Here is an 18,868-nt window from a genome sequence, read left to right as displayed (position 1 = left end):
TCTACATAAAATTTGGGCTTGACTTCACAGTGATTGCAGAAAACATTTCTATTTTACTGTTCTTTTAAATTTATATATTAATATTGACAGAATTGTCATCATTATGGTGTTGTGTTTTTATTACAAGACATTACATGCTTACTATTTGTTAACAACTTACTTTAAATCTTCCAATAGTATATAATTTTTCCCTTTAAAAATCGTACACATTGTGAGGTCTGTTTCAAGTTTTTTGCTTTGCAAAATAGGGTGTTTTCTAATTATATAATGTATACATTACAAACGATTTATTTTTGTTTTTTATTCACCTATCATAATAATTTATCATCATGTTTTAAGTCATTTTTTTCAGTCTTGGCTCCTGTATACTGAAAGTGTTGAATCATATCATCTGTAAATGAGGACAATTTTGCATCTTTATTTCTCATGCCTCGTCAAATCTTAATAGCTAACACAAGGATATTTACTTCTAGCTATAGTACATGAACTTGAATATGACCATCCCTCTTGCTAGACTAATTAGTAAGGCTGGGTAAAATATGAAAGATAATGTGTTAGAGGGCACCTGAGAGCTACCAAGCAGCAGAGACTTGAGGATGCAAGACTCCAGAAAGAAGGGAAGCACACGAACATAAATTAGATGTTCTGTTCAGATTTTTGCTATGATGCATTTGCCAATTGAAAGGGGCGGAAGAAGGCATCTAAAAATCTTGAAAGTCGAACTATCTATTCAACATTTTGGACCTGCAGTGCTAAAAAATGAACTCACATTAGATTGAAGGAAAGCATAGGGAGATGTGAATGATATGAGCTGCTGAACAAGCTGTGTCTTCAACACAATCTCCTATTAGGGCAACATTCAAATAAAATAAATATATTGAGATTATACAGAATTATGCTGCTGACTGGCCATGAATTCCAGAGGACACAAAAAAAGATTTGCGGAGTCAGAGGAATTGGAAGATAAGTCTATCTGGATAGCCATATCAGGACAGACATGGCTGAGAACAAAGCATTGTCTGTAATAGAACATACAAATTCTTCCTTAGAATGTAGTAAAGGGACTCCTTTATTCATATGCAGTTCCTGCCACAACTCTGAATGCATAGATTCTTTTGACTTGACATAAATGCCACAGATTTGTTTTTATTTTAATGAAGCCCAATGACAGGAGATCCACCAATAAACTGGAGGTAGCAAGTAGCTATTGAAAGTTAAGAAGTTTATGAAATTATTAGAAAATGCCTTATTGAAACTTTCTGTTACCCATCTCCTAGCATTCAATATCTACCCTCATCAAATTCTATTAGTAAATTTAATAATCACTTTTTGCACAATCAAATTTTTATTATGCTGGTTGTTAAGTGGGACATACACCATGGTTCCAAATTTTCTATACTTTAAAATTCATTTTCTTCATTTATACTTCATACCATTCTACTAATTTTCGTAATTGGTTGAATTCATTGCTTCAATTTCTGATTAATTTCTCATATTATATAATCCTTGAGAGAAAATATGTCCTTCAAACTCAAATTGTTTGTTTCCAGTGCCATATAGTTAAACATTTCTTTTATTCAGCATGTATTTCAACCTTCCTTGTCTCTCCATAAATCACTATCCTTTCTTCCCTTCACAATTGGTAAATATTTTATTCGCAAAGAGGATGGTCTAATTAATTTACCAAATATAATAGTTTTGTATAGGAAAATACATTGAAATTCTAAATATCTATTCAAAATGACATATAACAAAACCAATTTTTTTCTTATCAATGGCATAACCAAACAATTTTGAAGAAAATGATGTTACTCAAAGACTTTCCGTATGTAATGTTGCTTAAAGTCACAGTTGCCAAGCATTTATCAACAACATCAAGCAAGGACTTCCTGTACTTAATATACAAATAGTTTTTTAAAAAAAACAAAATGTCTCTTTCCTCTGCTGAATGCTGATTGCAGGCATTACATCTCCAGTTGCTTGATGAATGCATATTCTTTTAAAAAACAAGCTATCATAACCTATTTTGAGTATAGCAATATTAACAATATATTTTTATCTCCTTTGTGATAGATCAGTGAAGCAAATTTTGAAATGAAGTTAATAATTTTGAATTTAAATCTACAATTTAACTTTTTAAAAATGCTGAAATTTTATGTAACACTTTTCAAAGGTCTTTAGCATAACAAGTTGGTGAGATGAAATGGTGAAATGTGCCAATTAGCTTCCTATCATAGTTCACTTATATATCACTTGCATTTTAGTAAGTATCGTTACAGATTTCTGAAAAGACCATTATCCTTAACAAACTAACACAAGAACAGAAAAGCAAATACCACATGTTCTCATTCTCATTTATAAGTGGGTGCTAAATGATGAGAATGTATAGACACACAGAGACCTAGGAGGGTGGGAGGAGAGAGAGGATCAGGAAAAAATAACTAATGGGTATCAGGCTTAATACCTGGGTGATGAAATAATCTGTACAATGAACCTCCATGACACAAGCTTGCCTATGTAACAAATCTGCACTTGTATCCCTGAACTTAAAATAAAATAAAATATACAACTAGCAGAGACCAGGCATGGTGACCCAGGCCTATAATCCCAGCAATTTTGGAAGACGAACCAGGAGGATCACTTGAGACCAGGAGTTGGAGACCAGGAGTTAGAGACCAGCCTGGGGAACATGGTGTGACCCTGTGTCTACTAACAAAAGAAAAAAAAAAAAAAACAGCCAGGAATGGTGGTGGTGCAGAACTGTAGTTCCAGCTACTTGGGAGTCTGGGGTGGGAGGATCCCTTGAGCCTGGGAAGTCTAGGCTGTGGTGAGCCAAGATCATGCCACTGCACTCCAGCAGGGGTGACAGAGTGAGACCCTGTCTTAGAAAAAAAAGAAAAAGAAAGTGATAATCTAATTTCCCTGCTGGAATCTCCTCTTCACCTGCCCTCTCTGGAACCTCACTTGTCAGTTGTTCCTCCAACTTCCCTGTATCTTTAACCTGTCCCCCACCAATCCTTTTGGTCACTGTGGTGGCCAAAGTAATGCCCCCTACCAATTGCTCACGTCCTAGGTTACACAGCACAGTTTCAGAGGAAGGGGGATATTAAGAGTGCAGATGGAATTAATGTTACTAATCAGCTGTCCTTGAAACAAGATTATCCTGTAGTATCTGGGTGAGCCCATGTAATTACAAGGGTTCTTTAAATATGGAAGAGGGAGGCAGGAAGTTAAGAACCAGACAGAGTGAGCACAGTGGCTCATGCTTGTAATATCAATACTTTGGAAGCCCTAGGCAGGAAAATCCCTTGAGTGCAGGAGTTCAAGGCCAGCCCTGGCAACACAGCCGGGCCCCACCTCTACCGAAAAATTGAAAATTCACTGAGTGTCATGGCGCTCACCTGTAGTCACAGCTACTCGAAAGGCCGTGGTAGGATTGCTAGCCTGGGGGGTTGAGGCTACAATGAGCTGTGATTGCACCACTGAACTCCATCCAGGGTGAGAGAGCAAGATCCTGTTTCTGAAGAAAAAAAAAAAGGACATTGGAATCAGGGCTTCCTCCATCCTAAGGTGCCTACAAGGCATCTCTCTCTGAAAATGAGTAAACATCCTCTAATTCTCCGCAGAGTGGAGCAGCAGGAAAACACACTCACCTCATTTCTGTGCTGCTTGAGAGGCCTGGACAGCCCAATAACCAGCTCATTCCTGATGAAGAAATCAGGAAATGGCTCGAGTTGAGCTACGGAGAATTTGGTTCCTTCTTTTGGTTCTCAATAGGCAGGGTGGGGGCCAGGCATAGTGGCTCATACTTGTAATTCTTGCACTTTAGGAGGCCTAGGGGAGAGGATCACGTGAGGCCAAGAGTTCAAGACCAGCCTGGGAAACATAGCAAGACCCGGGTGGCATGCACCTGTGGTCCCCACTACTTGGTAGGATGAGGTGAGAGGACTGATCACTTGATCAACCCAGGAGTTTCAGGCTGCAGTGATCCATGATCACACCACTGAACTCTGGCCTGTGTGACAGAGCCAGACCATGCCTCAAAAAGTTAGAGAGAGAGAGAGAGAGAGAGAGAGAGAGAGAGAGAGAGAGAAACTATAGGCAGGCACCAGCACATTCAGCTAATTTTTAAATATTCTGTAGAGATGAGGTTTTGCTAGGTTGCCTAGGCTGGTCTAAAACTCCTGGCATCAACAGATCCTCCCACCTCAGCTTCCAATGCCCTGGGATTATATTTTTTGTTTACTATCATTGAAGACACTTGTTCTTATACTGCTTTAAGGTATAAAAGGAAAAAAAACACAGATAATAACAAATGTTGGTGAAGGCCAGGCACGGGGCCTCAGCTTGTAATTCCAGAACTTTGGGAGGCTAAGGTGGCCAGATCATTGAGGCCAGGAGTATGAGACCAGACTGGGCAACATGGTCAAACCCCATCACTACAAAAAAAATATATAAAAATTAGCCAGTCATGGTGCTGTGTACCTGTAATTCCCAGCTACTCGGGAGGCTGAGATGAGAGGATCACTTGTGCCTGGGAGTTCAAGGCTGCAGTGAACTGTAATGACATCACTGCCCTCCAGCCTGAGAGACACAGCAGGCCCCTGTCTAGAAAAAAAAAATAACGTCAGTGAAGATGCAGAGGAATTGGACCCACACACATTACTGGTGGGAACATAAAGTGCCATAACTACTTTAGGAATTTCTTTTCTTATCATTTTAATTGGATTTTTTTTGGAATCAAGACAGGGTCTCGCTATCTTGCCTAGGCTAGTCTTGAACTTGTGGGCTCAAGTCATCCTCCCAACTGAGCCTCCTAAGTAGCTGGGATTACAGGTGTGAACCATCACACCCAACTGATCTAACCACTTTAGAAAATGTCTGGCAGTTTCTCAAGAGCCTAAATGTGCAGTCATCACATAATGCAACAATTTAACTCCTAGGCATATATCCCAGAGGAAAAAAAATATATATGTCCATACAAAAACTTGTATAGGAACCTTCATAGCAGCATTATTCATAATGGCCAATACATGAAAACAACCCAAATGTGCACCAACTGATGAATGGATAAACAAAACGCAGTGTGTTTCTACCATGGAATATTATTCAGCCACAGAAGGAATGAAATACTGATACACGCTACAACATAAAGGAACTTTGAAGACATTGTACTAAGAAGGAAAGCAAGCCAGCCACAAAAGAACACATATTGTACAATTCTATTTGTCCAGATTAGGCAAATCTACAGTGACAGAAAAATCAATCAATGGTTGTCTGAGGCTGGGGGCAAAGGCAGGTGGGGGGAGTAGGAGGCAGTGGCTAAGGGGTGCGGATTTCTCTACAGGGTAAGGAAAGGTTCTAAGAGTGACTGTGGTGATCAGTGCACAGCTCTGTGAATATTCTAAAACCCACTGAACTGCAGATTTCAGCAAATAAATTGAATGATATGTGAATTACATTTTAATAAAGCTGTTATTTAAAATAATAATAATAAGGAGCTGGGCACAGGTAGTCATACCTGCCTGTAATCTCAGCACCATGGGAGGGTGAGGCAGGAGGATCACTTGAGGTCAGGAGTTTGAGACCAGCCTGAGCAACCTAGCAAAATCGTGCCTCTACAATAAAAAACAAAAAAAAAATTTAGCTGGGCATGGTGGCACACGTCTGTATTCCCAGCTGTTTGGGAGACTGAGGTAGGAGGATTGCTTGAGACTAGGAGTTTGAGGCTGCAATAAGCCATGATCATGTCACTATACTGCAGCCTGGGCGACAGAGCAAGACTCTGTCTATAAAAGGGAAAGAAAAGGGCTGGGCGTGGTGGCTCATGCTTGTAATCTCAGCATTTTGGGAAGCCGAGGCAGGCGAATCATCTGAGGTCAGGAGTTCGAGAACAGCCTGGCCAACATGGTGAAACCCTTTCTCTACTAAAAATTACAAAAATTACCCGGGCATGGTGGTGGATTCTTGTAAATCTACTTGTAAATCCAGACTAGCCTGGCCAACATGGTAAAAACCCGTCTCTACCAAAAACACAAAGAAGTAGCCTGGAGTGGTGGCGTGTGCTTATAATCCCAGCTACTCAGGAGGCTGATGCAGGTGAATCGCATGAACCTGGCAGGTGGAGGTTGCAGTGAGCCGAGATTGTGCCATTGTACTCCAGCCTGGGTGACAAAGTGAGACTCTGTCTCAAAAAAAAAAATTGATCAGATAAAAAAATTATGAAATGATGGAACAAATAAGATGTTAAAATTTGTTCCAAGGAGAATTCCAAAACCCACACATATCTGAGACCATCAAGTATGATGAAATATATTTGATTACTATATTTAAAAATAAACCGATTGTACAGTCAACAACAATTGGGCAGGGGTCTCCTCATCCACAGCCACACAAACCCGATCATGTGGCTATGCAGTTGAAAGGCCTGCATAGCCTAGATGGGACTGGTCCAACTTGAGATTTCATTTTATTTGGATTTGTATTTTGAGACGGGGTTCCACTCTGTCACCCAGGCTGGAGTACAGTGGTGTAATCATAGCTCACTGCAGCCTTGACCAACTGGCCTCAAGAGATCCTTCTGCCTCAGCCTCCCTAATACCTGGGAATGCAGGCAGGTTCCACCATGCCAGGCTTTTTTTTTTTTTTTAATTTTTGTGGAGAAAGAAGTCTTGCTATGTTGCCCAAGCTGACTGCAAACTCCTAGCCTCAAGAGATCTGCCCACCTCAGCCTCCAGAGTAACTGGAACCACAGGAATACACAACCATGCCTGGCTATATTTATTTTCCTAAATTTCTTTCTTCTACTTTTGTAGAGAGGAGGTCTTGCTATTATTGCCCAGGCTGCTCTCTAACTCTTGGCCTTAAAAGATACTCCCATCTCTGCCTCTCAAACTGTTAGAACTACAGGTGTGAGCCACTGCACCGGCCTGACCTGAGATTTCTTTAATCTAGCATCCTTTACTTAGTAGGATTGGGAAAGGCAGCAGTGGGTTTTTTTAATTACTTAATAATTCAATTTGAATCAAACTCAGCCTTGACCCCTGCCTTCTCTCACACCCCATGTCCAGTCTGTCAGGATCCTGTTGACAGTCTTCAACATGTCTCCAGGCTCTGACCATCTCTCACCGCCACCATGACCCTGGTCAGGACCACTATCATCTCCCACCTGGATGTGGTAACAGCTCGGCCTCCCTGCTTCTACCAAAATCTTCCTATAGTCTTTCCCAACTCAGCAGCCAGGGGTGCTTTTAAATAGGGAGACAGATGATGTCACTTGGCTGCTCAGAACCTTCCCGTAGTTCCCATCTCAGTCAGAGTAAAAGTCAAAGCCCCAGCAATAACCTCCCAGGGCTTACACAATCTGTACTGATCTCAGCCCAGCTACTCCCTGGCCTCCTCCCTTGCTTCTCTTCCTCCCTCTCTCTGCTGCACCAGACTCCATCCTGAGCCTTAGACACACCAAGGAGTTCCCTCCTAACATCTTCTCTCTGTTGCTTCTGCCTGCAATGCTCTTCCCTAAGCACCTTGGACAGCTCCTTTCCCTCCTTGAAGCCTTTGCTCAATTTTCACTTATGAGGACAACCCTGAACACTCTATTTAATATTGCCATCTGTCCCCACTCCCACCATGCTCACTCATTTGTTCTTTTTTTTTTTTTTGAGACAAGACCTCCCTCTGTCACCCAGGCTAGAGTGCAGTGGCACAATCACAGCTCACTGCAACTTTGAACTCATATGCTCAAGCAATCCTCCTGCTTCAGTCTCCTTACTAGCTAAAGCTACAGGTGTGTGCTACCAAGACTGGTTTTTTTGTAGACAGGGTCTCACTATGTTGTGCAGACTGGTTTTGAACTCCTGGGCTCAACTCATCCTCCCACTTCAGCCTCCTAAAATGCTGGGATCACAGGCATGAGTCACTGTGCCTGGCTTTGTGTTCATTTCTTCTTGCTTCTTTTACACACTACCCTACATTGAGTGGTTTAAAACACCACAAGTCTACTATCTGACAGTTCTGAAGCTCAGAAATCCAAAATAGGCATATCAAGGCTAAAGTCAAGGGGTCAGTAGGGCTGCATTCTCCTGGAGGGCCTAGAGAGAATGTGTTCCCTTGCCTTTTCCAGCTTCATGAAGCCACCCACATTCCTTGGCTCATGGCTCCTAACTCCGTCTTCAAAGCAAGAAGTGGAGCATCTTCAAATATGCCTCTCTCACCTCTGCTTCCATCATCACATCTCGTCCAATTCTGACTCTTCTACCTCCCTCTTGCTATTATAAAGACCCTTGTGATTGCTTGGCATGGTAGCTCACACCTGTAATCCCAACACCCTGGGATGCCAAGGTGGGAGGATTGCTTGAGGCCTGGGGTTCAAGACCAGCGGCAACATAGTGAGACTCCACCTCTACAGACATAGTAGTAATAATGAATATTAGCCAGTCGTTGTGATGCACACCAGTAGTCCAAGCTACATGAGAGGCTGAGATAAGAGAATTGCTTTAGCCCAGGAGTTTGAGACCGGTCTAGGCAACATAAAAAGATGGCATTTTTATAAAAAATAAAAAAAATTATCTGGGCGTAGGTGGCATGCACCTGTAGTCCTGGCTACTCAGGAGGCTAAGGCGGGAGGATTGCTTGAGCCCAGGTTGAGGCTGCAGTGAGCTATGATCACATCACTGCACTCCAGCCTGGGTCACAGAGTGAGACACTGTCTCAAAAATAGAAAACAAAAGAAGAGAAAGACACATTTGGTCTCCGCCCCTGGTCCTGGCACAGAGCTTCTAAAGCTCTTATAAAGTCCTCAGTGATAGAGGTGATAGGAGCATCTTTTGTTTCAATATTTGGTCTTAGTCCTAGGTTTCTAGCACAAGATCCTCTTGTGGATCACCCTACCCCCTACTTCCTACCCCATCCCCTACAAAACAACCCAATTCTTCTCCTTAATGGAGCTATATTACAAAAAGTTGTACTCATTTATATTTTGAATTTCATTCATTAAAATTTTGTGGAAATTTGTTTTCTCTCTTGTTATACCTACATGCCATTCTTGGTTTTGTCTCTTAGCCTTTGAAGCCTAAAATATTTAGCAACTGGCCCTTTAATGTGTTGACCTTTGGACTAAAGGAACTGGGAGGACTTTGGACTGGAAGAAAGAACACAATATGACAACCGCTCTCAAATATTTGCCGGACTCAACAGGGAGCTGGATCCATCCATCACCAGGGAATCTTTACTATGGAACACTCTCCTACCTATGAAGAAAGAGGTAGCTCTGTCTCTACAAAAACAAACAAACAAAATTAAGCCATGCAGGGTAGTGTGCGCCTGTAAGTCCAGTGACTCAGGAGGCTGAGATGGGAGGACTGTTTGAGCTCAGGAGCTTGAGATTACAGTAAGCTATGATTGTGCCACTGCACTTCCAACCTGAACAGCACAGCAAGAGTCTGTCTCTAAAAAGAAAGAGAACAGACACTCTGCAGAATGGGATAAAATATTTACAAATCATATAGCTGACCAGAGTTTATCGTTTAAACTTTTAAATAGGCAAAAGACTTGAATAGTAGGCCAGGCATGGTGGCTCACACCTGTAATTCCAGCACTTTGGGAGGCCGAGGCAGGCGGATCACAAAGTCAAGAGATCGAGGCCATCTTGGCCAACATGGGGAAACCCTGTCTCTATGAAAAATACAAAAATTAGCTGGGCATGGTGGCACGCACCTGTAGTCCCAGCTCCTCAGGAGGCTGAGGCATGAGAATCACTTGAACCCAGGAGGCGGAGGCTGCAGTGAGCAGAGATCACACCACTGCACTCCAGCCAGGTGGCAGAGCAAGACTCTGTCAAAAAAAAAAAAAAGACTTGAATAGTAATTCCACCAAAGATATAGAAATGGCCAATAAGCACATAAGATATTCAAAATCACTAGTTATTAGGGAAAGAAAATCAGTCCTAAAATGAGATATCACATCACACCTACTAGAATGGCTATAATAATAATGAAAAGATAACAAGCACTGGTGAAGAAGTGAAGAGATTAGAACCCTTGAATATTCTCTCTAGGAATGTAAAATGGTACAGTCACTGTGAAAAAGTCTGTAAGTTCCTCAAAAAGTTAAACACAGAATTGCCGTATGACTAAGCAATTCCACTCCCAGGTGTATAACCAAAAGAATTGAAAAAATGAACTCAGAAACATGCCGAGTGCTGATGTGCAAGTGTTGATGTTGGCTCGGGACAAGAGAAGAAAGGAAAGTCCAAGGACAGTATTTACTGCAGCGTTAATCACAATAACCAAAAGGTGGACAAACCCCAGGTGTCCATCCATAGATGAAGGGATAAACAAAATGTGACATATACATGCAATGGAATATTATTCAACCACGAAAAAGAATGAAGTTCTGATCAATGCTATCAGATATATTGTTACAACCTGGCTGAACCTTGAAAACATTAGGCTAAGTGAAATAAGCCACACATAAAAGGGCAAGTATTGCATAATTCCTTTTATATGAGGTACCCAAATAAGGAAATTCATAGAAACAAAAATTAGATTAAGAAGTTACCAGGGTATCAGGGAGGAGAGAATGGAAAGTTATTGCTTATTTGGTACAGAATTTGTTTGGGATGATGGAAAATTCTGGAAATACATAGTCATGATGGTTGTAATCCTTGTGAATGTAACTAAATGCCACTGAATTTTACACATTTTAAATCAATCCTTTCTAAAAACCAAAGAGAAATGGAATGGTATATATTACCTATCAAATGCTGTGCTGGATACATTATAGCCATTATCTGACTAAGCTTCATGAAAGTCTGTGAGTCATTCAAGGCCAAGTATCTTTCTCAAAGTCTCACAGCTAGGAACGGGCAGTAAATTTTTTCACTAGACAATGAGTACTTTTCTACATAAGGGTCAAGGATCATCTGCCAGGGTTATTTAATACAAAGGAGATTTTCACATTAGAAAGCAGATTATTAATACAACCAATAATAATAGTAACATGCCTTTTGCATACATTATCTCCTTAATCCTCACAAATAGGAAAGAAAGAACCTAAGACATCAGAGAGCCACTTAGGATTAAGAACGCAAGCTGCCCCCAATATGCATCCTCTGTCCTTAAAGACCTGAGCTACGAACATGGAAAAGATTGAAAAACACTGCCTTCAGGTATGAATAAACATACATTAGATCTGAGTAAGAATGCATCACTTAGGGGGAAGGGAAGCAGATGCTTATCTATTTTGTCTTATCTACTGATAACTAAATTCAGAAATTGTAATAAAAGTAATACAAATGTTATATTTTCTCTTAATTTTTAAAGAGCAACGATTATAGTCTGAAAAACTGTCATTCAGCGACTAATGCCATACTGAGGCCAAATCTTTTTGGTTTTCAATATCCAGCTTTATCATGTCACAATAACCTTCAGATTCTTTTCCACTTATATTGTAAAAATGCACATGAACTCAAACCTCTAGGTAAATCTATAAACCTATACCTATGAATCAACCTTTAATTCAATAAAAAATACACTTTCTCTACACACACTTTCTTTCCCTTTTTTATGTGCATTATCTTATTTAATCCTCAAAGCAATCCTCTGAGTTAGGAGATTTTTTTTTTAAGGGATACACGTGCAGAACATGCATGTTTCTTTCACAGGTATACACGTGCCATGGTGGTTTGCTGCACCCATCAACCTGTCATCTACATTAGGTATTTCTCCTAATGTTATCCCTCCCGTAGCCTCCCACCTCACACAGGCCCCAGTGTGTGATGTTTCCCTCCCTGTGTCCATGTGTTCTCATTGTTCAACTCCCACCTATGTGTGAGAACATGCAGCGTTTGGTTTCCTGTTCTTGTGTTAATTTGCTGAGAATGATGGTTTCCAGCTTCATCCTGCAAAGGACATGAGCTCATCCTTTTTATGGCTGCATAGTATTCCATGGTGTATATGTGCCACATTTTCTGGGAGTGTAAATTAGTTATTCCTCTTTTTTTAACCGTAAAATTTGAATTTATGGAGCATTAAGTTCTTGACTGTAAAATCAAAAAGCAAAAAGAGATGTGAGGTCAAAGAAAGGAGAGACAGTGAAAAATGGGCCAGGAGTTAAAAAGTAAAATTTTTCACTAAAGAAGAACAGTTAAGATGGTTGTTCATGTCGTTATTGAAACAAAAGAGGTTTGGTCTAGGTCCTGCTGCTCACTGCACAGAAACCCAATGACAAGTATTGCTAAGGAAGAAGGCTGTAACCCGGTGCTGCAGCCAAGGAGAGGGAAGCTCAGTCTCAAATCCATCTCCTTCACTGACTAAAACTAGGAGTCTATTTGGCAGGAAGAAATGCAACAATGTATAAGAAAACAGGAAATAGGGAGGAGCAAGGAAGCATCTGGGTACTGTGATATGGTGAATTTCAGATCTTTGATACTTTCTGAAGATGTTTTTTTGAGGAGGGAAGGCAGATAAGTATAGTTTCAAGCTTTAACAGCAGGGTTAAATTTCTACGTTTATCGTCTATGGGACGACCGGGCTAGTTTCAAATTAAGCAATGATTCTATAGGTCCTTTTTGTTGTTTTAAAATCTGAAACAATTGAATGTATGGTTATATGCTAGACCTAAAGAAAATCCATTTCATGTTCTAAAAACCAGAGTAGATCAAAGTAAAACCTGTTACAAATAGCCTATGAGTATCAAGTTTGGGAACACTATGAAAAATTCCAAAAAAGGTAATCAATTCATAAAACTTACAGATGGACAAATGAATATTTCAGAATTCTTATCAGTACTAAGTATGAACATGACCTTATCAATATTTTCATTACTAATTATACAATAAGAAACTGACTTCTGACTATTCTAAGGTATAAATGTGTACTTTACCTTAAATAGGAAAATGTGTTGTATATCCATTTTGAGATTCATTACAAGATTCACAGAAGAGAAAACTGATAGCCCTGTATCGATTAAAAGCATTTTTTTAAGACAGTTTTGCTCTTGTTGCCTGGGCTGGAGTGACATGACAAGATCTTGGCTCACTGTAACCTCCGCCTCCCAGGTTCAAGTGATTCTCCTGCCTCAGTCTCCCGAGTAGCTGGGATTACAGGTGTCTGCCACCATGCTGGGTTTTTGTTTTGTTTTGTTTTGTTTTGTTTTGTTTTTGCATTTTTAGTAGAGACGGGGTTTCACCATGTTGGCCAGGCTGGTCTTAACTCCTGACCTCAGATGATCCACCCACCTCAGCCTCCCAAGAGATGGAATCTCACTATGTTGCCCAGGTTGGCCTAGAACTCCCAGGCTCAAGTGATTCTCCCACCTCAGGTTTGAGAGTGGCTGGGACAACAGGGTGCAAACCCAGATGAGGGTAATTTTTGTAACAAAGGGAGTTAGGAAACTTTCTATGAGAGAAACCTCAAGGCCCAGATGGTTTCACTGGCATATTTTACCAACTTATTAAAAAAAAGAATGTAACTAATTCCTATTGTCACAAGCAGACAATTACTGAAAACTGACTGCTAAAAACATGCAATTCACTTGGACACGGCCTAACATGTGTATACACATATTCACATAATTACGAGCCAGAAGGTTTACTCAAAACACTTTCAGAGTTCTCTAGACCTGATAAAGCTATCCTCTGAGAGAAAATAAACCTGTTAGGCAATTGCAAATTAAAACTACAATGAGGAACCACTGCATATCAACTTAAGAGGGTAAAAATAAGATTGACCATACAAGTATTCACAAGAATGTCAACCAAAACTCTCATACCCTGCTGATGGAGATGTAAAATAATGCAGGTGCCTTGGAAAACAGTTTGGCATTTCCTTCAAAAGTTATAGATCCCAGCTATTCCATTCCCAGATATCTACTCAAGAGAAATGAAGGCCTATGTCCACACAAAAACTTGTACACAAACATTCATAGTAGCTCTACCTGCAGTAGCCCCAACCCCAAACTGGAAGAACCCAAATGGCTATCAACAAACAAAGGAATGAGCAAATTTTGACCCATGTATACAACAGCATATTAATCAACAACAAAATAGAATCTCCTACTGATACATGCAACATTGTGGATGAATTTCAAAACAATCATGTGAAGTAAAGAAGTCACAATAGTCCCTACCCCATGAAAATAGTCCACATTTAATCATATCATATGATATCATATATATGACTTTCTAGAAAATGCAAATTAAGCTAAAATGGAAAATCAGCATGTTGCCTGAATACTGGGCAGGGTCATGAATTACAAGGCGACATGAGAAAACTTTCGGGGGTATGGATATTTCATTATCTCGGTTGCAATGAAGATGGTTTATTAGGTATGTACATGCCAAAACTGGATTTTATACTTCAAATGTTTAATTTATTACAATTACACATAGATAAAAAATTAAGCTGACTATATCTGCATTTGCCTAATAGGTTTATTTTGCAACACTAGAAACTGGGATTGAATTCTAAATTGTGCCACAACTTGTGCTTATACTTTTACAAACATGAATGACTATTTTACATATCCCCTGAATTGTGTGAGTTGACCTTATATCCACATTTTTAAAATGTTTTATCCCAGTGACTTATTTACAAATATAGATGTCCATCAAGAACTAATCAATAAAATACTATTTAAGTTAAAGCAACTGATAAACTTTAATTTTAACCACAAATTTTTTTTATTAAAAAATTGCATTCACCCTTATTACCTTGAATGTGATATAATCATAATCAGGATCTTCTGATTCTTCCTTTACTGTCACAGCTGCCACTTCCAGGGAAATGACTATAAAAGCAAATGAAATTATATGATTGCATGTCAGGGCTTTCAGCTAAACTGTGTAGGGAAATCCTCTCCATGCTCCCTATAAATACAGCAATGAATACCCATTTTAAATAAAGACTTTAAAAGTCTTTGAAAGGACAAAAGTTCACCAGGTAGCAGAGTGTAGGAATCACCTATAGTCCCAACCGAGACAAAGTTTTAACCATTTATTAATATTCTGCAATTATTTGCTGCCAAATTTTTTCTCCAGCAAATTCTTATCTTTAGAATTAAAGAAAATTTAGTCACAATCCATGTTCACTGAATATTAAAACTACTATTATAAACCACTGTTATATACATCAGTTTTAATAACTCAATATTCCAGAGTAGAGATGGTATAATTTTTGGCAATTTCAATAATGAGATACATTGATTTTTTTTTCCTCCTCATAAATCTCTTCTATTGACAAGAGGACAAAGCACACCTTTCTGCATAAAGGTTTGCCCACAATTAGGACAGGTAATTTGAAGCCACCTTTGTGGCCAGATACAGAAGAGTGCATATTGGGTAATTCCTCTCATTTGAAGGTCAAAATAGGCAAATGAAATCTTTGTTATTGAATATGTAGGCTGGGTGTGGTGGCTCATGCCTGCAATTCTAGTACTTTGGGAGGCCAAGGCAAGCAAATCACCTGAGGTCAGGAGTTGAAGACCAGCATGGCCAACATGGTGAAACCCCGTCTCTACAAAAAATACAAAAATGTAGCTGTGTGTGGTGGTGGGCACCTGTAGTTCCAGCTACTCGGGAGGCTGAGGCAGGAGAATGGCGTGAACCCCTAAGGCAGAGCTTGCGGTAAGCCGAGATCGCACCATTGCACTCCAGCCGGGGCGACAGAGCAAGACTGTCTCAAAAAAAAAAACAAAAAAAAACAACAAAAAAACTAAAAACATTAATGTAAGCGTAGTAAACTAAGGAATAAATTTTTGTGACAATTGACAGCAGATGAGAATGACTATAGTTAACAACAATGCATTGTACATTCCAAATTAGTTAGAAGAGAGGACTTGAAATCATAAATACTCAAGGTGATGGACACCCCAACTACTCTGACTTCATCATGACACAGATGATACATATAACAAATATCACAGTTACCCTATAAAAACCTACAAATGTATGAACTAAAAAGGTTAAATCCAAAAAAAGTCTTGTAAGTTGCAGAAAAGTAGACTGTAGCAACTGTACGTATTTTCTTCCTTTCCTGCTATGAATGTGTTTGTATGCAGATTATGTATTTGCATATATTAACTATTCCCTTCTTCTATGCGCAGTATTTTACAGAAGTTTTATTGGAGGTTTCTTTTCCATTTGTCCATTAGACTAGAGATTACTCAAATAGGTTAGGATTGAATTTGAAGAGTAAGTGATACGCCTCATGACTAGATAGTCAGTCTCCCAGAGATGGGTGTGGCTGTTGGAACACTACGTCTCCTCATTTTGAGCAGATGGTAAAAATTGATTTCTTTGTAGGAAGTTGCACTCTGTTGGATGGAACAGTTGTGTTGTTGTACAGAAAGTCAAATGTGCAGGGAAGGGTGTGTATATTTCCTGAGTAGCCAGAGGGCAGCCAGGACTAGCCATTAAAGCTGATGTCTCTTAGTTGCAAACCCATCCTCTGGGTTTCTGGTGAAGCTTGAGCTCTGCACAGCAACTGGCTTTGCGTGAGTCTCTACCACAAGAACACACTATGTGGAGACAATAGGCTAGAGAAGGGGAAGGGATCTGTGCCTTCTTTTTGTCTCCTTGTCTGCACCCTAATCCCATCAAGGTCACTCCTTGGTACCTTCATTCAGCCTGGTGAATGAAGGCCCTCCAATAACAAGACACGTGTCTGGTTGACAATGTCTCTGACACTACCGACAGCTTCACTATGCCCCAAAGCCGCCAGTGCCAAGCACACAGTATCCCACCTCCAAAGTCAAAATGAGAGTGGGTGCAGTGGCAGCCATGACCTAGATTTGTTCCTTAGACACCTTAGTGTTCTAATTTTTGGAGGAAGGCCAAGGCAGGTGGATCATTTGAGGTCAGAAGTACAAGACCAGCCTGGCCAACATGGTGAAACCCAGTCGCTACTAAAAATACAAAACTTATCTGGGCATGGTGGCACTCACCTGTAATCCCAGCTACTCAGGAGGCTGAGGCAGGAGAATCACTTGAACCTGGGAGACGAAGGTTGCAGTGAGCTGAGATCAAACCACTGCACTCTAGCCTGGGCAACAAAGTGAGACTTCATTTCAAAACAAAACAAAAAATAATAATACTTCTATGGTTTCTTGCAGCTCTCCCAAAATACATTTACATACATAAAAGCTCATTCACATACATGCACACACACACATTATCACAGCTCTTCCCCTCTCCCCAACAATTCATTCCAGATGCCATTAGATGGTGCTAAGTGTGGCAGGTGATTGCCCCGGGAAACACAGCAAGATGAGAAGGTTTAGGAGGAGCAGGAGAAGTTGCCTAGGGCCTGGGCAGACAGAGGCAGATGAGGGGCAGGCAAGGTGGTAACAGCCCACCAAAGAGTGTCCCATGTGAGTAAAGGACATGGGCTCAGCAGCAGGAGGCTCAATGGTGGCACTAGTACACAAGATAAATACTGGGTAAATGATGAAATAAATCAATAGGCCGAGAATATCTGGGTGGCATGGTTCTATGAAAGCATTGTAAATAGGAAAAGAAACAAACAAACCAACCCAAGCTCTGGATGTTAAGAACAGAACTGAAGATACAGGTATGAGCTTTTGGCCTTCAACATGTGTAAGTACACAGACAAATACAGATGTAAATGTGTGCATGCACACGATGATTTTCCTTATTGTGCTGACTGTACTGTGGTTACACAGGCCAATGTCCTTGTTTGTAAAAATTACACATGGAAGTAGCTGAGAGATAGGGCATTGTGCTGGCAACTTACTGTCAAATAGTACAGGAAAAAGTTTATTGCACCATCTACATGGATGCTTTCTGGGGTCTTTCTGTTAGCTTGAAATTGCTTCAAATTGTAAATGATTTTACAACAAAAATTTTAAAGAATTACAGTATTATTTATCTCTTCTACATCAAGCTTTTCTCTTGTAGTCTATCTTACAGGTACTTCCACATGAATATAAACAGATCTATCACTTTGTGTTTACTGGCAACATGGATGGAATTTCCAGAATGGAACAGTAGGTTAATTATCTTTTTTATAAGGCAGCAATGGGTTAAAGAATACATGCATCTTAAAATAATAAATATTGTCAACGTACCATGCACAAGATAGCTACAGTTTATATGCACATAAACAATGTCTTAACCTGCCTGTTTTTCCAAACCCTTTGCTGAGACTGAGCATAAGCAAAATTTACTGTCTGCCAACCTGCTAGGTGTCAAACATTTTCATTCTTAGATTGTTATCCCCACTTCTTTAACGAGATTGAGAATTTCTTGAGTCTCTGCTCATTTATTTTGTGGCTTGCTTCTTTTAAAACAACATATAGATGGAGTCTTCCTTTGTTGCCTAGGCTGGGTTCAAACTCCTGAGTGAAAGCAATCCTCCCATCTTGGCCCTTCAATGACTGGGATTACTGGTGTAAGCCACCATGCCCAGCCTGGATTCGTTCTTCGTAAATCAAACCCTTTGTCATTTTCTTGCAAATAGCCTACCCTTTCTCTTACACGTCCTTTGACACATTTTAGATGGTTTTGCCATACAAAACTTTTCGATTTTTAGTTAAAGGTAGGCTCAGGAAACATTTCAAGAAACTGAAGTGTTTCTTTTTTCACCTGCTTTTAATCTAAAGTCTTATTATATCTGGATTTTAACATTTATTAAAAGTAATGTCAGATTATAAATGTTTGGATTTTATTCATTTTCTAAATGATTCTGACTGGTTTCCTACATATACAATCATATGACCTGCAAAACAAGATGTGCCCTTTACTTTCTAATTATTTGCAACTAATCTGTACTGGTTTATACATCTAGGAAACTGATGAGCAACTGGTGGGAGTGTGTATCTTTTTCATATGAAGCATGCTTCTAGTGGTTTA

The 18,868-nt window shown here is 39.9% G+C and overlaps 2 long non-coding RNA genes across 2 annotated transcripts; one reads left to right on the top strand and one right to left on the bottom strand.

Annotated features, from left to right (window-relative positions):
* Positions 1-69: 69 nt before the first annotated feature.
* On the bottom strand, positions 70-14,793 carry LOC105372005 (uncharacterized). The gene is made up of 4 exons (XR_935176.2): positions 14,711-14,793; positions 4,486-4,608; positions 3,654-3,834; positions 70-3,520 (listed from the first exon to the last, which is right to left on the bottom strand). It is a non-coding gene; the product is annotated as an uncharacterized LOC105372005 (long non-coding RNA).
* On the top strand, positions 1,106-18,022 carry LOC105372006 (uncharacterized). Its single transcript, XR_935177.1, has 4 exons — positions 1,106-1,193; positions 9,061-9,262; positions 11,040-11,167; positions 17,915-18,022. It is a non-coding gene; the product is annotated as an uncharacterized LOC105372006 (long non-coding RNA).
* The last annotated feature ends 846 nt before the right edge of the window (positions 18,023-18,868 follow it).

Source organism: Homo sapiens, chromosome 18 (assembly GCF_000001405.40).
Source record: "Homo sapiens chromosome 18, GRCh38.p14 Primary Assembly".
NCBI lineage: Eukaryota > Metazoa > Chordata > Mammalia > Primates > Hominidae > Homo > Homo sapiens.
This window is presented reverse-complemented; position numbering and strand designations above follow the sequence as displayed.